We start from the raw sequence: 24,149 nt of genomic DNA on the forward strand, positions 1-24,149 counted from the left end.
GATTTTTCAGTAAACCTTCAGAGGGTGAAGGTAAAGTTTTCCCTTGGCCCCTACAATTGTAATCACTTATTTAATGCCAGCCTTCCCTGCTAGACTATAAATTCTGAAAGCAAGGCTCATGTGTCTCCTGTGCTACTGCATTCCCACAGTTAACACAGTAATAATGGAAACAGCAACCATTTATTGAGCTTACTAATGCACTGGGTGCTATGCTAAGTAAGCCCTTTATAGTCAGTATTGTATTTAATCCCAACAACCCTACGCCACTGATACTGTCCCCATTTTATAGATAAGAAACCATGGCTGCTTGGTTAGGAGTGGCAGAACCATGAACCCAGCTCTCATTCAATAAAAAATAGTATCACATCCACTTGAACCACCTAATGTACCATTTACCATTCTTTTCAGGCACACAATCCCACAAATTTCTCATGAACACTCATTAACATCTTAACCCTTCACTTGTTCTTCTCCCCCTATCCTCTGCCATTTGTCTAGATCAATGACTCTCAAATTAGTTATTTAAACAAAACCAAGAGTATTCATCTATTAAATAGAATGAAAATTTTCTGAAAATGTAGTGAAAACTGACCCAGAAAGGTCAATACCAAGACCTGTTAGAGTTATTGGACTTGATAAAGGAATAATTTGAGCAGCCAAGCAAAAAATCAAATCACTTATGTAAGAAAAATGTCACATGACTTTAGGCTTCTCTATAGCAATACTTTAATATTCCAAAGAAAAATATGAACTGAGAATTGTATTATCTAGCCAAATTGTTTTTACTGTGTAAAGGCTACAGATAAACATATTTGACATGGCAAAAATTTAGGGAAATTGTTCCATGAGTCTTTTTTAAGGAAACTATTAAATCATTAATTTCAGCTGACCAAGAGATTAATGGGAATGTTTTGAGTTTCAAATACATTTAAACTGTGGAACTAAGAAATGTGAGGATGACAACAGAATGTAAATATTATATGTCCTCACAAGGTAGGAATGATACAACAAAAATTGAGAGAAAAGGAAAAGAAAGTGGAAGTTCACTGATACAATAATAGTTGGGCACCAGAGTGTATCAGCTAAAGCTAAGCTGACAAGTCAAAGAGAAGTATAATCACATTTAACATACAAAAGTAGGTCAGGTGTGGTGGATTATGCTTGTAATCCCAGCACTTTGGGAGGCTGAGGCAGATAGATCTCTTGAAGCCAGGAGTTCAAGATCATCCAACATGGTGAAACCTCGCCTTTACTAAAAACACAAAAATTAGCCCGACATGGTGGCGCATGCCTGTAATCCCAGCTACTCGGAAGGTTGAAGCATCAGAATCGCACGAAGCTAGGAGGTGGAGGGTGCCGTGAGCTCAGATCACACCACTGTACTCCAGCCTCAGCAACAGAGCAAGACTCTGTCTCAAAATAAACAAACAAACAAACAAACAAACAGTATAAGAGTAAAATCCAATAATATATCGACCAGAACTGGTTAGTAGAGGAGGAGGGAAGGAAGAAATATGCTAGGCTTAAATATTGCTCAAAAGGAATTATTGGTGACTGAAAATAAATAGAAGAGTGTTATAATTATATGGATAATCAGCTGGGCGTGGTGGCTCACGCCTGTAATCCTAGCACTTTGGGAGGCCGAGGCAGGTGGATAACCTGAGGTCAGGAATTCAAGATCAGCCTGGCCAACATGGTGAAACCTCGTCTCTACTAAATATACAAAAATTAGCCAGGCATGTTGGTGCATGCCTGTAATCACAGCTACTCAGGAGGCTGAGGCAAGAGAATCACTTGAACCTGGGGGATGGAAGTTGCAGTGAGCCAAGATCGTGCCACTGCACGCCAGCCAAGATGACAGAGAATAACTCCGTCTCAAAAAAAAAAAAAAAAAATTTATATGGATAATCAATAGAACAAAAATTACCCACAAAAGGAAAAAAAATAAAACATACCATAAAGTAAAATATTTTTAAAATCGTTGAAACAGAAAGGAGAACATGATTAGAGAACAACAACAAAAAAGACAATTTCCTGAAACTTGTTCTCAAATTTGTTCCTCTACAGAAAGCTTTTCCTCATGAAATAAATAAAAGACATTTGACATGGGTCACTTACTTTAATAACAATACATATACCATGTTAACACCATGGAATGCAAATTCAGATTAGACAAGAGAATTTCACAAGTGTGATAGCCTTCTGTATATTATATAAAAGTTTGGGTATACTGTCTGGCCAAACCAGCTTGCTCATAAGTCATTAACCAAATCCATTATAGGTAATTTGTTCAGTTCAATGTTTACAATTCTTATGGAAAAAATTAGCAACACACACATTTAAAACGTGTTCATTTACCTTTGCGTGAGTGCTTAAAATACATATTTCTATTTCAAGATGACATTTAAAAATTATTCTAATATATCAGCAGCAAAAATATAATTTGCAATTACAAAAAACTAAACTAGAATCCTTAAATTATTCTCATGTTTACAGTTGTGATTCTTTAATAAATACTATTATGCAGCTCTATTGTTTAAGCTTTCTGGATTTGGTTTAAACACATGCATATATATTGTCAATTGTGGGAAGCTTTACAAGTTATATTCCATGCACTTTTTGGACAGAGTTCTAACAGAGCCAGCCAGTCCACAAAACAGGCAGACAAAAGTTGAATTAACTGGGGCAAATAGGACTCTTATGCAACATCCAAAATATCTGACATTCTGCAGCAAACAGGGAGTACCTTCAGGATTGGCCTGTTATCTTCTTTAGAACTAAGTTCATCTTAAAAATTTAAGAAGGTGGACATTTCAACACCATCAAGTGCATTTAGGTGACATGTTTAAGTTAACTTGACTTCCTTGAATGACCTAGTTAGTAAACTAGTCACTAGTAATTCGGTCACCAAGCAAATCAAGCCTGCAAGAAAGGAAGCCAATATTCAAAATGCCATGTTACCATCTAAACCCATACAAATTAGTTTATTTCCAACAATAATAGGTAACTTTAATAATAAGACATCTAACTAAAGCAAGCTCCTCCAACAAGACCAAGACAGCATCTCTTCTTCTAAGGCTTAGGTTTTGCCCAGAATTCCCGATACATGGAATAGCCCATACCTAAAGAAAAAGAATGCTAGTTAAGCATTTCAGTATTTTCTTAAATATTCAAAAATAAAAACCAGTTCATAAAATAGCTGAAAGTAGCACCACTGCTAGCATGGAATATTTACAAGGGGAATAAGACCCTAGGAAGCTTATACTCTTGCCTTCTTAAACATCTTAAATCTCTAAAACTCTTGTTACATACAGTAGTTTCCCAAGTAGCAAAGGGCTGGTATGGCTACTTCACATGTTACAATATTTCTTTGAAAGAACAATCAATATTTATCTGGTAACTTTGAAAGGAATCACTCTTGCTACATAATACCAGATAAAGTCAATGAATTATAAAGCCAATAGAAGAAGCATGTAATACCTAAACTTTAAGAATCTCTCCTTTAAAAACACAATAAAATAGCAATTGTATGTCTCTCCCAGATAACAGATGTTACTATCAACCCCAATTACATGTCTAGGCTCTTCAATGAAATTATAAACTCAGTGATTGACAGGATTTTTTTTTTCTTTAAAATCTTAGTAGGATATATCATAGAAAAACTATGTCACTACTTGAATTATCTTCATTAATTCATTTTTTACATGAAAATGAGTATAAGTGATATTCTCCAACTGCTAAAAGGTCAGCTAAAAATATTTACCTATTTTGTTTGTAAAGAAATACCTTAATGAGAAACGAAAATTTGAAATTTCCTATAGGAACCTACCAACAGTCATTGCTCCTACAACAAAGCCTTGGGCTGCCACACGCATGTGGATCAGATGAATGGACATTTTAGTATTTCCCCTGCTCTTCAGTTTATATAATCCATATGCAACAATTGCTGCAAAACCCGCTATTCCTGTAAAACAAAGTAACAAGTATGTCAGATGCATGAGAAGGGACCAAGATGACTTTACCATCAGTCAATGTACATTCTATTATTTTTATGAGGATTCTTTATCAGATCATTAATTAGCTAACATACAAATTGAGTTTTTCATGTTTTCCCCTATCAAAACCAAAAATCTTTAAGCAAACAACAACAGATCCAGAAAGTCAGGATTATCTTTAAAAACATGGGTTTGTGGGGCCAGTAGATAAACTCCTTTAAAAAACTGCTAGGGAATTAACAGGAACCTAGATTATGATTATCAGAACGAAAGTGTGCCAAAGGTCTTGACTTAGAGAATGAATTTATTCCATTTCCTCTCTGTCCTATTTCCCTCCCTCAAGGTAATCAGTTAATATACCAGAGACAATCCTACACACTACTACCACTGAGAAACATTGCCTGAATATTTCAAACTTTGGGATATTGTACTGGGAAGAAGTAAATAAAGGAAAAGAATAGAGCAATATTAGTTTCAGTTAAAAGGATTATGATCCTAGAGTTCTATACAGAGCCAAACTCTCATTCATTTTGAGGGCAAAAGCATTCAGGACATGACCTTCCATGTTTTCTTTTTAAGATTTATTATTTTATTTTTTAAGAGATGGGGTCTTGCTCTGTTGCCCAGGCTGGAGTGCAGCCGCACAATCATAGCTCACTGCAGCCTTGTTCTCCCAGGCTCAGGTGATCCTCTTCGCTCAGCCTCCCTAATAACTGGGACTACAGGAGGGCTGTCTTTCCCAAGCTGCCACCCAGGTACTGATACAAAAACCTAGAGGAAAATATCCAGTCAAATAAAAACAGTGAGTCAAAATGGACAGTTCAAGAAATAAAGACATAATGGTTAAGATATAATGGTGAGCAATAAAGACAGAAAAATCTGTACTGGTTCCTTGAAAATGACTGGTATAATATAGCAAAATTAAGAATCTGAAATTAGGCTATGATTATCACAACAAAACGTGTGCTAAAGGTCTTAGGGAATAAATTTATATTCATTTTAATACAGGAAATAGATGAAAAAAACACATCCTAGTTTGACAATGTAAAGATAACCACCAGCAAGCAGTGTAAGAATAGCCGCAGAACTTCCAAATCATAAGGAGGAAAAAAAAATTAGGGCTGGGAGCAGTAGCTCACACCCATCATCCCAGCACTTTGGGAGGTTGAGGCAGGTGGATCACCTGAGATCAGGGGTTTGAGACCAGCCTGGCCAACAGCCTGGTCATCTCTACTAAAAATACAAAAAATTAGCCGGGCATGGTGGCATGCGCCTGTAATCCCAGCTACTTGGGAGGCTGAGGCAGGAGAATGCTTGAACCTGGGAGGCGGAGGTTGCAGTGAGCCGAGATCACACCACTGCACTCCAGCCTGGGCGACAGAGCGAGACTCCATCTCAAAAATATATATATATATATATATATATATAAATTTTTAAAGTCATAAAACTTTAAAATAATCTAATATAGCAGCAAAATAAATAAATGGAGCAAAAATTGTTAGGAACACAAGATTAGCTCTATTAGAAGACAACAAAATGGGAAAATCTGTCTCTTTCAGAAAACAACAGAATAAGAAGCCCCAAACTAAAGCTACAGAATTGCACGGCACCATTAAATAAACTTACTTAAATTCTTAAAAATAAATAAAATTTAATATTTTAATTTAAAACAGAGATCCCACATTCTTTAAAATGTCTATGAAGCTTTGACAAAACCAATCATTTATTAGGCCACAAAGAAAATTCCAACTTCCAAAAAGTCCTTCTTCCTGGATGACTACCATAAGGCCAAAACTTAGCAATCAAAACGTAAAACAACCACACACATACCCCCACCTCTAACCACTGAGAAGCTGAGCACCAATAACTAGATTTGGAGGTTAAAGTAAAAACTGAGAGATTAGGAAGCTATCAAACATTATTTGAAAAATAAAAACAGTACTGGTTCTTAGAACAAATAAAATTGTAAAACCTCTAGGAAGTCTGATCAAAGAGAAAATAAACATACGACATTAGGAATGAGGAAGTGGATATAATCACAAGTGATAAAGAGATTTTTAAAAATAAGAGATGATTGCTCTTTGCCAATTAAATTTGAAAATCTAGGTGAAATGAATGATTTCTGAGGAGAATACAAATTCCTAAATTTGATTCAAGAAGTTGTAGAAAACCTTTCTATACCAATAACCATAGAAAGAATTAAATGGGCAATCCATGCTTTATCCCCAAAAGATAAAGACCCCAATAGTTTCATTAACAAGGTCTAATAAAAATTATAAGGGCATTCTCAATTCATGTTATTTAAAGTATTCCAGGGCATTAAAAACATAGCAATACATTTTTTTCCAATATATTTTCCAAGAAAACAAATCCCTGATACCAAAACAAAATTAAGATAACATAAGAGGCTGGGTGCAGTGGCTCACACCTGTAATCCAAGCACTTTGGGAGGCCGAGGCAGGTGAATCACTTGAAAACAGGAGTTCGAGACTAGCCTGGCCAAAATGGTGAAACCCCGTCTCTACTAAAAACACAAAAATCAGCCTGGTGTGGTGGCGGGAGTAGTCCCAGCTACTCAGGAAGCTGAGGTAGGAGAATCACTTGAACCCAGGAGGCAGAGGCTGCAGTGAGCCGAGATCCTGCCACTGCACTCCAGCCTGGGCGACAGAGCGGGACTGTCTCCAAAAACTAAAAAATAAAAAAAAAAGCCATGAGAAGAGAATTACAAAGCAATATAAATTATAAACATAGATATAAAATTCCTAAACCAAATACTAGCTTATCAACTTTAAAATGTATTAGAATAATATTATCAACCATGATCATTAGGTTTTTACTTTGGGAATTTTTTTTTTTTTTTTTTTTGAGACGGAGTCTTGTTCTGTCACCCAGGCTGGAGTGCAGTGGTGCAATCTCCGCTCACTGCAACCTCCGACTCCTGAGTTCAAGTGATTCTCCTGCCCCAGCTTCCCGAGTAGCTGGGATTACAGGAATGTGCCAACCACACCCGGCTAATTTTTGTATTTTTAGTAGAGATGGGGTTTCCCCACATTGGTCAGGCTGGTCTCGAACTCCTGACCTCATGATCTGCCTGCCTCAGCCTCCCAAAAAAGTGCTGGGATTATAGGTGTGAACCACTGTGCCTGGCCTACTTTGGGAATTAACCATTGCTTTTACATAAGAAAATCTTGGCCAGGAGCAGTGGCTCATCCCTGTAATCCTAGCACTTTGGGAGGCTGAGGTAGGAGGATTGCTTGAGGCCAAGGGTTTGAGACCAGCATGGGCAACAGAGTGAGACCTGTGTCTACAAAAAAAAAAAATTTTAATAAAAAATAAATTAAAAAAAAGAATTCACTGGAAGAACATCCAAGAACAAAAAAAAAAACGAAAAATCTCTTAAGATTCACGAAAGATGAAACTATGTGAACATCTGAATAGTAAAAGTAAATTAGAATATAGTTCAGACACCAAAAGCAAATACAAATTGTACTTAGTGTTAAAACACTATAAATATTCCATTTTTAATTTTTATCTATTTATTTATTTATTTAGAGACAGGGTCTTGCTCTGTCACCCAGGCTGTAGTGGCATGATCATGGTTCACCACAGCTTCGACCTCCCAGGCTCAAGCAAACTCCCATCTCAGCCTCCCAAGTAGCTGGGACTACAGGCGTGTGGCACCATGCCCAGCTAATTTTTAAATTTTTTTTGTAGAGACAGGGTCTCACTGTGTTGCCCAGGCTGTCTTGAACTCCTAGGCTCAAGTGATCCTCCTGCCTCAGCCCCGCAAAGCACTGGGATTACAGGAATGAGCCAAAGTGCTCAGCCTTATTTTTTATTAAAAAACGAAAAAGAGATAAGAAAAAAAAGTTCCCTTTAAAGATCAGAATAAGACAGGGATACATGTGAATACTGCTGTTGTTGCCTGGATATCCTAAACAATTTTAAATCACATAAAAAAAACTATACGCATAATTAGGAAGAAACTCTACTGGTTTGCAGATCATCTAACTGTGTGTATAGGAAATCCAAGAGAATCAAATGAAACACAACTAGAGGCCAGGTGCAGTGGCTCACGCCTGTAATCCCAGTACTTTGGGAGGCTGAGGCAGGTGGATCATTTGAGGTCAGGAATTCGAGACCAACCTGGCCAACATGGCAAAACCCTGTCTCTACTAAAACTACAAAAATTAGCCAGGTATGGTGGCAGGCGCCTGTAATACCAGCTACTCGGGAGGCTGAGGCACAAGAATTGCTTGAACCCGGGAGGCGGAGGTTGCAGTAAGCTGAGATTGTGCCACTGCACTCCAGCCTGAGCGACAGAGCAAGACTCCGTCTCGAAAGAAAGAAAGAAAAACAACTAGAACCAATAAGAAAAAAGATTACTTTGATGAATACATTAAAAAGCATATCTAGAGAAATTAAATTTCTAGACCTAGAGAAAACAATAAAATCATATTTAAGGACACAAAAGGTTTGAATGAAAATCAGTAGATGCACCACATTCTAAAATTTCCATTCTCTCCAAATTTATAAATTCAATGTAATCCAAATGTAAAAATGAGACATTTTTCCCGTTTTGGACTGGGCAAGCCAGTTTCTTTTTCTTTTCTCTCTTTTTTTCAGACACGGCGTCTTCCTATGTTTCCCAGACTAGAGTTCAGTGGGTATTCGCAGGCATGATCATTATACACTACAGCCCTGAACTCCTGGGCTCAAGTGACGCTCCTGCCTTGGCCTGCTGAGTAGCTGCAATTAACAAGCTAATTTCAAAGTAAACAGGCAAGCTCTTTTTAAGAAGGTAGAATAGTGAAAGTGTACTGGCTTATGAGGTATCTAAACATACCACTAAGTTTCTGGCAGACAGATCAAAGCAACAAAATACATACAGTAGTTGAGTAACAAATCTCTCATATGTTTAGTATATGACATAGTTCACATTTCAAATAAGTGGAAAAAGAATGCAAAACAGATACCCAAATCACTGTGATAGAAAATTAAAGTATCCATACGGAAAATAAGTTAGATTTTGCCTCATGTCATACCTACAAATAAATTCCAGATAGATTAGTATCTCAATGATAAATGCACAACATAAGGAAATACAGGAACCTAAGTAATCCCAGGATCATGAAGGCCTTGCAACATATTAAGAAAACATTAATACCTAAAATACATAATTATAATTTAATTAGAAAAAGACATCCTAGTTAAAACAGAAACAAAAGCAAAAACAAAAAAGCTAATTCACAGAAGAGAAGCCTGAATGACCAATACATATGAAAAGATGCTCAAAGAATGATAATATCTAGTGCTACTGAGAGTATGGGAAAACCAGCCCATCACAGCCTATTGGTGTAAATCATTGTTTTGGTACAATTAAGTATATAAGGATATTTAATTTTTACACACACAGTCTTCCAACAGTTTGTAAAATCAACATAATGGGAACAACTCCTATGTCGTCAATACAGCAATGGTTAAATCAATGTAGGGTTTATGTACTCCCAAGAAGGGATATGTATAAATGACAACCCATTAAAGAGCAGAAAATTTTATATTTGTATCTTATCCTTTTGAAATGTCTTTCTGCGTATTTCATAATGACTTAAATGACTTAAAAGTCATAAATGACTTAAAAATAGGTAAACACACAACACACTGGCAGGAAGTACGTGCTCAAATTATTTTTTACTGAGGGAATATACAACCAAAAAATTTTATAGATCACTGTTACAAAACATTGTATATCTACAAAATTAATGATTCAATTATTAAAAATATAAATGTTCCTATATGCATTGTTATAAAAAGATAATGAACAAGGCTAAAGAAAAATATTTCATCTAAAAATAATTATAAATAATAGTTTATGGTAGTACACAGAGAAGAAAACACTGACAGACTGTGCAGACTGCTGTTGTCTTTCAGAGTCGGGATCATAGGACATGGTACCTTTCTGTTTTATGTACTTTTGCAACTAACTTATTAATTATATGGTCAGAAGAAAAATTCCTTCAAGAGACTTCAAAGTCCTTTAACTTCTTGGAGAGCCATCTAAAAGGATGCTCAGTAGTTTAATTGTTAATAATGAAAAATTAGAAATCACATAAATTTCTACCAAGAGGATTATAATAATGTTATATACAACAGTAATTTATATCATATAAATTAAGTCATTCTTAAAAGTGGAGTTTTGGCCGGGCGCGGTGGCTCACGCCTATAATTCCAGCACTTTGGGAGGCCGAGGCGGGCGGATCACAAGATCAGGAGATCGAGATCATCCTGGCTAACACGGTGAAACCCTGTCTCTACTAAAAGATAGAAAAAATTAGCCAGGCGTGGTGGCGAGCACCTGTAGTCCCAGCTACTCGGGAGGCTGAGGCAGGAGAATGGCGTGAACTCGGGAGGCGGAGCTTGCAGTGAGCCAAGATCCTGCCACTGCACTCCAGCCTGGGCGACAGAGCAAGACTCCGTTTCAAAAAAAAAAAAAGTAGAGTTTTAGGCCAGGCACGGTGGCTCACACCTGTAATCCCAGCACTTTGGGAGGCCGAGGCAGGTGGATCACCTGAGATCAGGAGTTCGAGACCAGCCTGGCCAACATGATGAAACCCCCATCTCTACTAAAAATACAAAGAAATTAGCTGGCGTGGCGGCGGGCACCTATAATTCTAGCTACTCAGGAGGCTGAGGCAGAAGAATCGCTTGAACCCAAGAGGTGGAGGTTGCAGTGAGCCGATATCGCGCCACTGCACTCCAGCCTGGGCAACAAGAGTGAAACTCCTTCTCGGAAAAAAAAAAAAAAGTCGAGTTTCGAATAACATAGTTAAAAACATGAGATAAAAATTATAATACATATATGCATCTTAGTATGATCCTGAATTTGTGAAGATAAAAAAAGAAAAAACAACTGGAGAAATATGTACATCAAAATGGTAACAACAGTTATATCTAAATGGTGGCATTAAAGGTAATTTTAAAATTCTCTGTAAGATTAAAAATTTTTAAACTTTTTCTTAAGATTAATTTATATACTATAAATTTCACCTTTCATCTGTTTTAACTGCATATTAAATGAATTTTAATATGCCTGCGAGTCCGACCTCTGGGGGATAGGAGACTGAATAGCTAATTTCAGTCACAGCTGACACCTCAATAAAACCTGGTTACCAAGGCTTGGTGGGCTTCCCTAGATGGCAAGACTTAGCATGTATTGCCACATATCACATCAGTACTGAAGAATTAAATGCACCCCCTCTCCCCCTGTGGGACTCCCTGGGAAGGGGACACCTAGAATTTTGTGTCTGGTTTATCCTACACTTCATTCTATATGTCTTTGTTGACTTTAACCTATATCCCATTGCTGTAATAAACTATGACTGTAACAAGCATTTTTGAGTCTTATGAGTCTTGGCCCAATCATCTAACCTGAGGATGGTCTTGGGGTCCCCCAATACAACATTATGCACTGAAATAAGACTCAATAAAATAAGAAGTCTCAGCTGGAGTGGCAGCTCACGCCTATAATCCTAGCACTAGGCTGAGGGCAGGCGGATTGCTTGAGCCCAGGAGTTCAAGACTAGCCTAGGCAGTATCGCAAAACCCCGTGTCTATACAAAACTACAAAAATTCGCTGGGCGTGGTGGTGCACACCTGTGGTCCCAGCTACTTAGGAGGCTGAGGTGGGAGGATCAAGAACCTGAGAGGTCGAGGGATGGGGGCAGTGAGCTATGATCAAGCCACTGCACTTCAGTCTAGGTGAAAGAGACCCTGTCTCCAAAAAGAAAAAAAAAGTCTGAATACATACAGAAGAATCTTTATGATGAGATTTATATCATGCCAATCTCAGCATATTTCAACATAAGAAAAAAATGGAAAATACATTCTTTCAGGATATTGCTAAATGAACAAATTATCACGGCTCTACCATATTCAAGACTACTAAAATGTCAGTCAAACTTACCAACGGGTACGAATGGTGCCTCTTTAGCTTTTCGAATGAGTTTTGATCCCTGATCTTCCTCATATGAAGGAAGGGAAACACCTGTGTCTGTTGACATAGTGATTGCTTGAAGAATCTCCCTGAGAAAGAATTTCTATGAGGTTCTGTAATTAAAAGCATCTGAACATTATTAAATATCTGGATGTATTTAAAATATTCCTAACTTCCATGAGAATCTTAGTATATGTTATCCATAATCCTAAAGTTAAAAAATATTTTTAGAAATTAACTGTATTTTTAATGTACAGTCACTCTCAAGGGAGAGTTGTATACACTTATTCCCCCTATTATTTTGCCGTTTCCCCTGTACAACCCATTCATTTTTAGCACCATGTTAATTAAAAATAGTGAAAAATTTTAAATTGATGTTACTTTTATCAATTAAAATAGTAGCTACTAATTTTCTGGCTATCTTCATCCTTAATCAACTATTTAACTTGACAATTTTAAGTTACTCAAACCAAACTGACAACTCCTATTGAACCTTCAATATCATGTTGGAAATCCTACTTAGCACTTTTCGGTGTAGTTAAATGCAGTCTTTATTGCTTTCAACTGCTGATTTATTTATTCCAATGTGCTTCCTTGCTTCAATTTTCACTTCAGATTAGTTTCCAGTCTATTACAGTAATCTGTTATCCATGGTGGTTGCCTCTGGGGAAAAGATTATTCTGAATAGCCAAAGTTTCTACCTAGCTCATTATTTACTCATTTTAAGAACAAAGCTTTTATTTTAAATATTGGTAGAAATGTCTCCTTCATAGCCTTTTAGATTTTTTTAATGACCTATGATTAGTTTTTTTTCTTTTTTGAGACTGAGTCTTGCTCTGTTGCCCAGGGTGGAGTGCAGTGGCACGATCTCGGCTCACTGCAACCTCCATTTGGCACACACCACCGTGCCTAATTTTTTTGTATTCTTTAGTAGAGACAGGGTTTCACTCCTGACCTCACGTGATCCACCCACCTCAGCCTCCCAAACTGCTGGGATTACAGGTGTGAGCCACTGTGCCAGCTTATGATTAGCTTTTTTTTTTTTTTTTGAGATGGAGTTTCGTTCTTGTTGCCCAGGCTGGAGTGCAATGGCGTAGTCTTGGTTCACTGCAACCTCTGCCTCCCAGGTTCAAGTGATTCTCCTGCCTCAGCCTCCCAAATACCTGGGATTAGAAGTGCCTGCCACCATGCCTGGCTAATTTTTTTTGTATTTTTAGTAGAGATGGGGTTTCACCATCTTGACCAGGCTGGTCTCGAACTCCTGACCTCAGGTGATCCACCTGCCTCCCAGTGTTGGGATTACAGGCATGAGCTACCACACCTGGCCCTATGATTAGCACCTTTTAACATCACTGCAGCACAAAACTGAATTACCCTCAGGGTCTTCTTAATATCTTCTAAGCTTCAGATCTGCCTTCATTTACATACCTTATATCCCCTAGGCTTCCTTTTAAAACTCTACCCTCTTTTTATAATTCCTTTAAATGGTATCCCAAAGGCAAGATCTAGCCTGATAGTGTATGAGTAAGGGGATAGGAAAAAAAAAAAAAGGATTCATTTTCATTATCACAGGGATCAAAGGCTCCTTTCCTCCTTTTCAGTCATCTCCGTGAATAGCCCTTTTATCACAATGAGGCATTAACAAATGCTATTTCATTTTAGCCACAATAACAAAGTATACTTTCTTCACTGAACTATTTTGAATTGCAATAAACTTTACTCACAGATAAAATAAGGGCCTGAAGCATAGTGTAAGCATACAAGTCTCTAATTAGTGTCAATTACAATAAACTTAAAAGTCTATGCCCATCCTAACACCCATATAAAATCTTACTTTCACTTCTGGGTTTTTCATGTGCATTATGCTCCCTTTGATAAAAGTACCTCTCATTCAACACCTTGCTACTCAAGGGGAGTCAGTGGCAGTTAAGGTCCTCAACAAAAATGCAACTCCGGAGGGGGTGGTGTGCTTAGTTTAGAAAGTGAATTCATCCCTATAAGCCTCACCTTCATTGAGAAGACTCAACTGTCATCTGACATAGAAGAAAATCTTAGCTAAATAAAAGAAAATTTAGATTGGACTTAAACCTTCTTTTTGTACTCCATTACTTCTTAACTGAATAAACTCCTAAGTAATGAGCTTTATTATATATAAGGTTCAATAAGCTCAAGGTTCAAGATACTCACTATATATCTGAATAATACAATATAAACACTAAAGTAATTAATCGTTCAAAAATTAGTTGTTGTTTTTTTTTTTAAAAAAAAAAGAGAAATCATGTAACCGCCAAACAGGTTCACCTTGCCCGCTGGCTAGACAGAGCTGATTTACCAAGACAGGGGAATTGCAATAGAGAAAGAGCAATTCACCCAAAGCCAGCTGTGTGGGAGACCAGGATTTTTATTATTAGTCAAATCAGTCTCTTGGAGCATTCAGGGATCAGTTTTTAAGGATAATTTGGTGGGTGGGGGAAGGCCAGAGAACAGAGTGCTGATTGGTTGGGTTGGAGATGAAATGGGAAGTTGAAGCTGTCCTCTTGTGCTGAGTCAGTTCCTAGGTAGGGGACATAAGATCAGACGAGCCAGTTTATTGATCTGGGTGGTGCCAGTTGGTCTATCAAGTGCAGGGTCTGCAAAATATCTCAAGCACTGATCTTAGGAGCATTTTAGGGAGGGTTAGAATCTTATAACTTCCGTCCCTCTCCCTCTCCCTCTCCCTCTCCGTCTCCCTCTCCGTCTCCCTCTCCCTCTCCCTCCTTCTCCGTCTCCGTCTCCGTCTCCGTCTCCGTCTCCCTCTCCCCACGGTCTCCCTCTCATGCGGAGCCGAAGCTGGACTGTACTGCTGCCATCTCGGCTCACTGCAACCTCCCTGCCTGATTCTCCTGCCTCAGCCTGCCGAGTGCCTGCGATTGCAGGCACGCGCCGCCACGCCTGACTGGTTTTGGTGGAGACGGGGTTTCGCTGTGTTGGCCGGGCCGGTCTCCAGCCCCTAACCGCGAGTGATCCGCCAACCTCGGCCTCCCGAGGTGCCGGGATTGCAGACGGAGTCTCGTTCACTCAGTGCTCAGTGGTGCCCAGGCTGGAGTGCAGTGGCGTGATCTCGGCTCACTACAACCTCCACCTCCCAGCCGCCTGCCTTGGCCTCCCAAAGTGCCGAGATTGCAGCCTCTGCCCGGCCGCCACCCCGTCTGGGAAGTGAGGAGTGTCTCTGCCTGGCCGCCCATCGTCTGGGATGTGAGGAGCCCCTCTGCCCGGCCGCCCAGTCTGGGAAGTGAGGAGCGTCTCCGCCCGGCCGCCATCCCATCTAGGAAGTGAGGAGCGCCTCTTCCCAGCCGCCATCACATCTAGGAAGTGAGGAGCGTCTCTGCCCGGCCGCCCATCGTCTGAGATGTGGGGAGCGCCTCTGCCCCACCGCCCCATCTGGGATGTGAGGAGCGCCTCTGCCCGGCCGAGACCCCGTCTGGGAGGTGAGGAGCGTCTCTGCCCGGCCGCCCCGTCTGAGAAGTGAGGAGACCCTCTGCCTGGCAACCACCCCGTCTGAGAAGTGAGGAGCCCCTCCGCCCGGCAGCTGCCCCGTCTGAGAAGTGAGGAGCCTCTCCGCCCAGCAGCCACCCCATCTGGGAAGTGAGGAGCATCTCCGCCCGGCAGCCACCCCGTCCGGGAGGGAGGTGAGGGGGGGTCAGCCCCCCGCCCGGCCAGCCGCCCCATCCGGGAGGGAGGTGGGGGGTCAGCCCCCCGCCCGGCCAGCCGTGCCATCCGGGAGGGAGGTGGGGGGGTCAGCCCCCCGCCCGGCCAGCCGCCCGGTCCGGGAGGTGAGGGGCGCCTCTGCCCGGCCGCCCCTACTGGGAAGTGAGGAGCCCCTCTGCCCGGCCAGCCGCCCCGTCCGGGAGGGAGGTGGGGGGGTCAGCCCTCCGCCCGGCCAGCCGCCCCGTCTGGGAGGTGAGGGGCGCCTCTGCCCGGCCGCCCCTACTGGGAAGTGAGGAGCCCCTCTGCCCGGCCAGCCGCCCCGTCCGGGAGGGAGGTGGGGGGGTCGGCCCCCCGCCCGGCCAGCCGCCCCGTCCGGGAGGGAGGTGGGGGTGTCGGCCCCCCGCCCGGCCAGCCGCCCCGTCCGGGAGGGAGGTGGGGGGGGTCAGCTCCCCTGCCCGGCCAGCCGCCCCGTCCGGGAGGTGAGGGGCGCCTCTGCCCGGCCACCCCTACTGGGAAGTGAGGAGCCCCTCTGCCCGGCCAGCCGCCCCGTCCGCGAGGGAGGTGGGGGGGTCAGCCCCCCGCCCGGCCAGCCGCCCCGTCCGGGAGGGAGGTGGGGGGGGTCAGCCCCCCTGCCCGGCCAGCCGCCCCGTCTGGGAGGTGAGGGGCGCCTCTGCCCGGCCGCCCCTACTGGGAAGTGAGGAGCCCCTCTGGCTGGCCAGCCGCCCCGTCCGGGAGGGAGGTGGGGGGTCAGCCCCCCGACCGGCCAGCCGCCCCGTCCGGGAGGGAGGTGGGGGGGGTCAGCCCCCCGCCCGGCCAGCCGCCCCGCCCGGGAGGTGAGGGGCGCCTCTGCCCGGCCGCCCCTACTGGGAAGTGAGGAGCCCCTCTGCCCGGCCACCACCCCGTCTGGGAGGTGTGCCCAACAGCTCATTGAGAACGGGCCAGGATGACAATGGCGGCTTTGTGGAATAGAAAGGCGGGAAAGGTGGGGAAAAGATTGAGAAATCGGATGGTTGCCGTGTCTGTGTAGAAAGAAGTAGACATGGGAGACTTTTCATTTTGTTCTGCACTAAGAAAAATTCCTCTGCCTTGGGATCCTGTTGATCTGTGACCTTACCCCCAACCCTGTGCTCTCTGAAACATGTGCTGTGTCCACTCAGGGTTAAATGGATTAAGGGCGGTGCAAGATGTGCTTTGTTAAACAGATGCTTGAAGGCAGCATGCTCGTTAAGAGTCATCACCAATCCCTAATCTCAAGTAATCAGGGACACAAACACTGCGGAAGGCCGCAGGGTCCTCTGCCTAGGAAAACCAGAGACCTTTGTTCACTTGTTTATCTGCTGACCTTCCCTCCACTATTGTCCCATGACCCTGCCAAATCCCCCTCTGTGAGAAACACCCAAGAATTATCAATAAAAAAATAAATTAAAAAAAAAAAAAAAAAAAAAAGAATCTTATAACTTCCAGCTGCACGACTCCTAAACCATAATTTCTAATCTGTGGCTAATTCATTAAACCTACAAAGGCAGTCTAGTCCCCAGGCAAGAAGGGGGTTTGTTTTAGGAAAGGGCTGTTACCATCTTTGCTTTATTTTTCTATTTTTGTTTTATGAGACAGGGTCTAGTTGCCACGCAGGCTGGAGCACGATCTCGATCTTTGCTCACCGCAACCTCTGCCTCCGAGGTTTGAGTGATTTGTGCCTTAGCCTAACAGCTGGGATAACAGGTGTGCACCACCATGCCTGGTTTTTTTTTTTTGTATTTTTAGTATAGATGGGGTTTTGCCATGTTGGCCAGCCTGGTCTCAAACTCCTGGCCCCAAGTGATTTGCCCGCCTCAGCCTCCCAAAGTGCTAGGATTATAGACGTGAACCATCATGCCTGGCTCCATCTTTTTTTGGCTAGGTCAGATCTCTTTCACTGTCTCAGTTATAATTTTGCAATGGTGGTTTCAATCACAGTGTAATTAGTTGTCAAAAGCCTAACACAGACAAGGTCTGAATTTAGAGAGAGTGATGTATTTTAGCTAAAGGAGGTTTGGCACGTTTCACAGAGAAACACTTGAGACTGGCTTTGAAGAAACTGCATAAATGGACTGGATAGAGAGATTAAACACTGTATTTATTTTAGGCCAGTATGTTTACTAGTTGCCTTCATATCTAATCATGAACTTCTCGGGCAGGTGCGGTGGCTCATGCCTGTAATCCCAGCACTTTGGGGCACCAAGGTGGGCAATCACTTGAGGTCAGGAGTTCGAAACCAGCCTGGTCAACATGGTGAAACCCCCATCTCTACTAAAAATACAAAAATTAGCTGGGCATAGTGGTGTGCATGCCTGAAATCCCAGCTACTTGGGAAGCTGAGGCAGGAGGATCGCTTGAACCCGGGAGGCAGAGGTTGCAGTGCGCTGAAATTGTGCAACTGCACTCCAGCCTGGGCCACAGAGAGACTCTGTCTCAAATTTTAAAAAATAAAAGAAAAAGAAAAAGAAAAAGAAAAAAAAAACATGACCTTCTCAAAGGGGAAGTTTATCACAAATCCTTTCATTTCCCTTCCCAACCCCACATTCTGACCACATTAAATATTTTTAAGATGCTCTCTATACCTCTAAGCCTTTGCACAAGCTGATTCCTCTACTTGTGAGAGTTTCCCTCCCTTTCCATCCCCTTCAGATACTCTTTCCTAGCTAACTCCTCCCATTTTTTTTTTCAGGTTTGGTTTTTCTTTTTTTACACTGAGTCAGAACATTATTTTAATAGTTACAAAACTTTTTTTTTAACAGAATCAGTATAAAATAGCAGTTGATTTCTCCATAATTATCAGAATTATTTATATTTGAGGTCTTGCCTAAGTGGGGCTGAAATCAACAAAAGGTCTTGGACTACTGGCTCAGAAATCATCCTAGGAAGCCCGCCCTGTTGACATTTGTCATGCTTAGCTCTTATGAGATGACCCGGTCCTTTAAAAAAAAAAAAAGTATCTCCGTTTATTCTGTTTATTTGGAGGTTTGAAGTGAATTCGGCAGCATTCATTAAACTCCTTCCAGCTCCTGTCATTTATCATTCTGACTACATCCATTTCAACTTTGCCTGCTCTGTTCTGAGTTGCTTTAACAATATTAAATCGTCCAAATTCTTTTCTCTCTCTTCTCAGAGGTTTTTTACTACTGCTGAGGTCTGGGCTATATAGTTTTTTATGACTCTGTCCCTACTGGCATGAGCTGCCATCAAAGACTCAAAGTTGTTTACAGGTTTGGCTGGCATCAATCTTCCCTGCAAAGGAAGCTGTTGGAACTGTAGTGTTTAATTAATGTACTAGTCTGTATCAACTGTCCACATCACCTTGAGTAATTCCTGGAACTCGGCGAACTCCTCACAGTTCACACTGCCACTGGGTGCCACCATACTGGACTCAGGTTCACATCTTAATTGACCTCCTCTCAGAAATTTTTGTCTCTTTAAGTTCGTAAGTGCTTTGGTTATGCAGTCCCATAGGACCTTGTACTTTCCTTATAACCCTTATAAGCACCAGTTTGTCTGTTTCTTTTGCTAGAATCCTTCAAGTCAGGGACCAATACCTGCTCTGCTTGTATCCAACTCCACTGCCTGGTGCAATACCCTATATATAATATGTACACTACAAATGTTTCTTGAATACATTTAAAAGTTACATTTCTCAACAACTGAAAGCATTCTTAGGTTATTCAGTAATATTGAGTACAAAAAAATAACAATCATACAGATTTGTAGAGTTTAATCAGTAAGAAAAATGCCTAACTGTATGTACCTAAGTGCTTATTTCTTTTATGTTTCTTATATTGTACCTATGAAAAGAGAAATAACCTGAGGTCTTAGTTCCTTGCAACACAGGGGACAAAACTATTATATACCATAATCCACTTTTAAAAACTAAAAACTTCTGCAGATATAAAAGCATGTTTTCCCCTTTTTTGCCTGAATCATTTCTAAACTAAAAAATCATTTGGGAATTGTCTTTAAAAGCAAGAAAGTTGGTAGCCGGGCATGGTGGTGCACACCTGTAGTCCCAGCTCCTCAGGAGGCTGAGGCAGGAGGGCTGCTTGAGCCTGGAAAGTGGAGGTTGCGGTGAGCCATGATCCAGCCACTGCACTCCAGCCGGGGCAACAGGCAAGACCCTTGCTGAGGGACCCAACAAACAAACAAAAACAGGACATAAATCGTTTTTTAAAAATAGCAAGAAAGTTGGTAGTTTTTCTTATAATTATCTCACATCTGGCTGACTCTAATTCTCCAACAGGTCAATGGAGCAAAAGGTTTTTTTTTTTTTCTCCTTTCAGGAGGGAGGGGGTTAGTTGTCTCTTTCCTGTATATAAATCAAGAACAGAAGAAAACCTATTTCTCCGTTCTTCATCTATGATACAGACTCTGAAGCTTGTATGGATAGGGCATTTGACCTGGGTTTCAGAAAGTAGCCCCTGCGGTAAGCATCAGGGTGTGGGGAACAAAATGGTCATTATTTGCTTGAAACGACAGATGATAATCTGTCTGTGATTCCAGAATACCTTATGTGTACATTTCAGAATAAAATTAGTAAGGATTAATATTTAAAAATCCAACACATATCAGTTATTTGTTATTCTGTAGTCAAAATATTATAATTCCCATATAGTACATATCTAAAATACTCTCTGAATACAAAATTTTGATAACTGTCTAATTACCACGTAGAAGTTTCCAAAGTATTCATGGTTTATAGCCACCTGAATTGAAAACTGGTTAAGTATCAGGAACAATAAGTTCTAATCATATAATTTGAGAGTAACAAATCAGATGAATAATCCAAGCCAATAGCCTTATTTTACAGGTGGGGAAAGGGTTGTGAGAGGGTTATACGAATTGCTCAGTACAAGGAATACATGTCTGGTGGGGTAGGATTAGAATCCAGCTCTTCTGATAGAGAGTCCTGGGTTCTTTTGATTGACGATATATTGCCAAAGCATCAATCTTACGCTGCTGATGTAAATTAGATTAAATTGGCAGATAAGAATTCTGATTAGAAAATTTAAGAATCCATTACTCAACAGAAGCCCACGTTGTTCTCTTTGAATGATATATATAAAAAAATCATGCCTAAGGTAAACGGAATCTTCTTCAGTGACTTAACTCATCTAACAATTTCAATTGTGATTTGAAAAGACTTTTTTCACTACACCACTGCCAGACTTTCCTTCATTATCGTTTTCTCATCCACCCACAGTAGTTGTCCCAGATTTCTGTCAGAAAGTTGAATAGACGCTAAAAAAGGCACCAGTAACCAGATATTTAAAGTCAGTTTGGAGAGCACAAATTAATTCTGTACGCTTAGTAAGACACGACTGAAGACCTTTCCACAGGGAACCTAAAGAGGCATTAAGGGAAGATGAGCCGTCCAGCATCAGGAGACGTAACAGGTTGAATGAAGGATCTTTCTTCACAGTCATTTTGTCACGGGAATTACTATCTAAAGCAACGCTGGCTTCAAACTGATTTTGCATCAGTCGCCCATCAGCTTGTTTAAAATGGCTGCCAAGGCCCCAGCATGGAGATCCGGATTCAGGTGGTCTGGGGCAGAGCTCAAGGAATCTTTAAGAAGCCCCTTCAAGTGACTCTGGTGCACAAAGAGAACTCCTAGTATACAGGACTCCAAATATGTGTGTCATGCTGGAGCTTCATGACCAGGTTGTCACCGCTTCAACCTGTTAGAACTTTCCATCCAAACCTGTCTTACTCCAAAGTGCCTTTGTACTTCCGGAAGCAGGGATCCCTGTCGTGGGGATTACTCCGAAGAGGGAAATAGCTGCTTCCCACTCCGGGAATTTAAGACAAAGGCGAATATCACTGCTGCATCATGTCGGCTGCTCCTAATTCTGCCCTTACGCTGTGCTTTGTAATCTCTAACCCGCCGACTCGGCAGGAGAAAAATTTAATTCGGTCACAGAAGCACTACACAGGACCCTAGGCCTTATCACTTTCCCAGGGTGGAGGAAACACCAGGTCGGGGAGAAAAGCAAGACCAGGACTGGAAGGTCCTCTGCTAGTACGCCCTCCCCTCAACCTCCCGACCTTCCTCGCCGCCTCTCTTCCTGTGACCTTGTCGTGACTCCGTGACCGGAGCGCTCGCTCTCCTATCCCGCCTCGCCTGCCGCTTAGCCCGCTCTTCAGAATGTTCCAAGCTCCGGGGAAGCTCCCGCTCCTCGCTCCCCGCCGTCGGGCCCAGTCAACACCCTCCTGGCCCCCGTCTCTCATTACCACCCCATCAGCGAGTCTTCCCCGCTCGGCAACTCACTCCACAAGCTTCTGCTCCATCTCCTCGCTGGCTCCGTCTCCCCTCACCCGAAGGACCCTAGGCCTCGGCTCCCGACTCCTCTCATCCGCCCATGCTCGAGGCCGGGCCTGAGCCCCGGCAACTCCACCTCTCCTCCCTCATTCGAGACACGGACTCCCAGCCCCCACCCCCAAAGTCCTTTCGGCCTGGCCAAGCGCTGCCCCACTTCTTCCCGCCCCGCGGCCCGAGTCCCTGGCTCGCAGTCCCCCGGCTTGTTTCGCTTACCTAGAGCGAGAAAACCTCTCACACCCCAACCGGCTTCCGATCCCTGCAGGCGCACCCAGTCCTCCCGGCTTCTCCCCACCCACAGCCGTCCCAGCCAATCAGAGGCCAGCGGCCGCAAAAGGACGCGTGCGTGTGCGCGGCGGGTGGGGCAGTGCAGAGCGGGTCCTGGATTGGCTGGGCCGGTGAGTGCTGGCCCACTACCCCGGCTCTAGCGTACTGGCGGAGACAGACGTGAGAGCTCGGCGCCTGGGGTTCGCGCCCGGGCACTTGAGGGGCTTTGGCTCCTGGCCCAAGGACTCCTCAGATTTCTCCTGCCCTTTTCCCCTCGGGCAGCGGAGGCGAGCACCGCGAACGCCGTGTCCCGAGCGCCGCCGCCTGCGGACGCCTCACGGGCCGGGAAGGGATGCGGGTGAGGGGTTTCGGCTGCGGGTGAGGTTGTGTTCCCCGACCCACCCGGGTCCGACTGCTTGTTCTCGCCGTTCAGTAACGAGATGCAGACAGACTGGGAAAGAACGGAGTTTATTTCTGCAACAGGTTACAGGGAGAAGGTCGGAGTAACTCACCAGACCAACTCAAAATTATTAATACAAGTTTTTCTAGTGCTTAAATACATTCAGTGCATTTACAAGTCGAAAGCCAAAGTGTTTCACTCAAGCCAATCTTTAACGGTAATAGGGTCAGGTGTCTAGACAATTGCTTCAGAGCCTTGGAAATAATCTAAAGTGGGTCCTGGTACAAGGTGTGCAAGAACAACTCCATTATTTTAATTAAACTCTAGGGGTTGAAAAAGCTCAGGCGGGATCCTAATGGACTTGTCTTTACATTCTAGCCTTTCTCCTAAGGCACCAGTTTCTCCAATGTTTAACTTATACATGCATCAGAATGACAGTGAGGCGTTGGTGAGAGCTGCTCTGGTTGCTAATGGAGATCTGGCCTGCCACAGTGGGAGCAGAGCTTGCCCAGTGCGCCGGGACGACTGCGGGCTCCATCCATTCCGCTCCCAGGGCGGTTGTCGGCCAGGACCGTGAGCTGTCAGGTCCCCCGCGGGATCCTTCCTGGAGCTTACACTATAGTAGGAGGCAGCCAGTACTTGCAAGCACGGGGTCGCGGGAACTACGACCTCACCCAGGCCAGGCGACCTTTCTCTCAAGAAGGAGATGTCAGAGGCCCCTCGTGACAGCGAGCTTCCGGGGACAGGGCTCCTAATGTGTTTGTCAAGTAAATAATGAGTAATAATCCGGCCAATTGGTGGGTCAACGAAAAAAGTCAAACTCTAAGATATTTGAAGAGATTTATTCTGAACCAAATGTGAGTGACCGTGGCCCCTGACACAGCCCTCAGGAGGTCCTGAGAACATGTGCCCAAGGTGGTCCAGGCACACTTGGTTTTATACATTTTAGAGAGGCATGAGACATCAATCAAATACATTTAAGAAATACATTGGTTTGGTCCAGAAACGGGGGACAACTCAAAGGCGAGAGGGGAGGGGGCTTCCAGGCTATAGGTAAATTTAAACATTTTCTGGTTGATAATTGGTTGAGTTTGTCTGAAGACCTGGGATCAACAGAAAGGGAATGTTCAAGTTAAGATAAAAGATTGTGGAGACCAAGGTTCTTTTGAAGTCTTGTAGTGGCTGCCTTTAGAGACAATAGATGACAAATGTTTCCTATTCAGATGTTTGAAAGGTGCTAGACTTTTAATCTCTTTAGGATTGGGGGGCCTGGAAGAAAAAGATCTAGCTATGTTATAGGGATTCTTTACAGATGAGAATTTTTCCCCGCAAAGGACAGCTTTGTATGGCCATTTCAAGATATGGCAAAGAAATATGTTTTGGGGTAAAATATTTTTATTTTCTTCCTTGTCTTATAATGTTATGCCAGAGTCAAGTTGGAAAGTAAGTCACGATATATAG

General features: G+C 42.8%; 1 protein-coding gene and 1 pseudogene across 3 annotated transcripts, besides 2 other annotated features; both read right to left on the reverse strand.

Moving 5' to 3' along the window:
• Window positions 1-709: 709 nt before the first annotated feature.
• On the reverse strand, window positions 710-22,292 carry HIGD1A (HIG1 hypoxia inducible domain family member 1A). Of its 3 annotated transcripts, none has more exons than NM_014056.4 (4): window positions 22,238-22,292; window positions 11,959-12,077; window positions 3,830-3,964; window positions 710-3,122 (listed from the first exon to the last, which is right to left on the reverse strand). In NM_014056.4, exons 2-4 carry the CDS (start codon window positions 12,053-12,055, stop codon window positions 3,073-3,075), a joined length of 282 nt encoding a protein of 93 aa, NP_054775.2. In that variant the 5' UTR covers window positions 12,056-12,077; window positions 22,238-22,292; the 3' UTR covers window positions 710-3,072. The 3 variants fall into 3 exon arrangements, with proteins under 3 accessions (NP_054775.2, NP_001093139.1, NP_001093138.1); NM_001099669.2 differs by having other exon boundaries at window positions 11,959-12,101; NM_001099668.2 differs by having other exon boundaries at window positions 21,974-22,292.
• On the reverse strand, window positions 18,401-19,081 carry MIX23P4 (MIX23 pseudogene 4; annotated as a pseudogene).
• Window positions 22,248-22,467: a silencer, noted in NCBI's record as "silent region_14251". NCBI's record gives its function as "represses an Ori minimal core promoter by ATAC-STARR-seq in GM12878 lymphoblastoid cells {active_cell/tissue: GM12878}" and the evidence as "EXISTENCE:reporter gene assay evidence [ECO:0000049][PMID:35858748]".
• Window positions 23,329-24,126: an enhancer, noted in NCBI's record as "NANOG-H3K4me1 hESC enhancer chr3:42847019-42847816 (GRCh37/hg19 assembly coordinates)". NCBI's record gives its function as "activates a minimal SCP1, AML or CMV promoter by ChIP-STARR-seq in naive H9 embryonic stem cells {active_cell/tissue: H9 hESC(naive)}" and the evidence as "EXISTENCE:reporter gene assay evidence [ECO:0000049][PMID:30033119]".

Source organism: Homo sapiens, chromosome 3 (genome assembly GCF_000001405.40).
Source record: "Homo sapiens chromosome 3, GRCh38.p14 Primary Assembly".
Classification (NCBI taxonomy): domain Eukaryota; kingdom Metazoa; phylum Chordata; class Mammalia; order Primates; family Hominidae; genus Homo; species Homo sapiens.

Bases quoted from the DNA above. Each gene is read 5' to 3' on its own strand.
- HIGD1A (NM_001099668.2), bottom strand. From the start codon at position 21,993: ATGGAGCAGAAGCTTGTGGA. The intron at 12,078-21,973 runs GTGAGTTGCCGA...ATTCTTTCTCAG, and splicing joins ATGGAGCAGAAGCTTGTGGA to GGAGATTCTTCAAGCAATCA. The intron at 3,123-3,829 runs GTAGGTTCCTAT...CTTTTTCTTTAG, and splicing joins TGTAGGAGCAATGACTGTTG to GTATGGGCTATTCCATGTAT.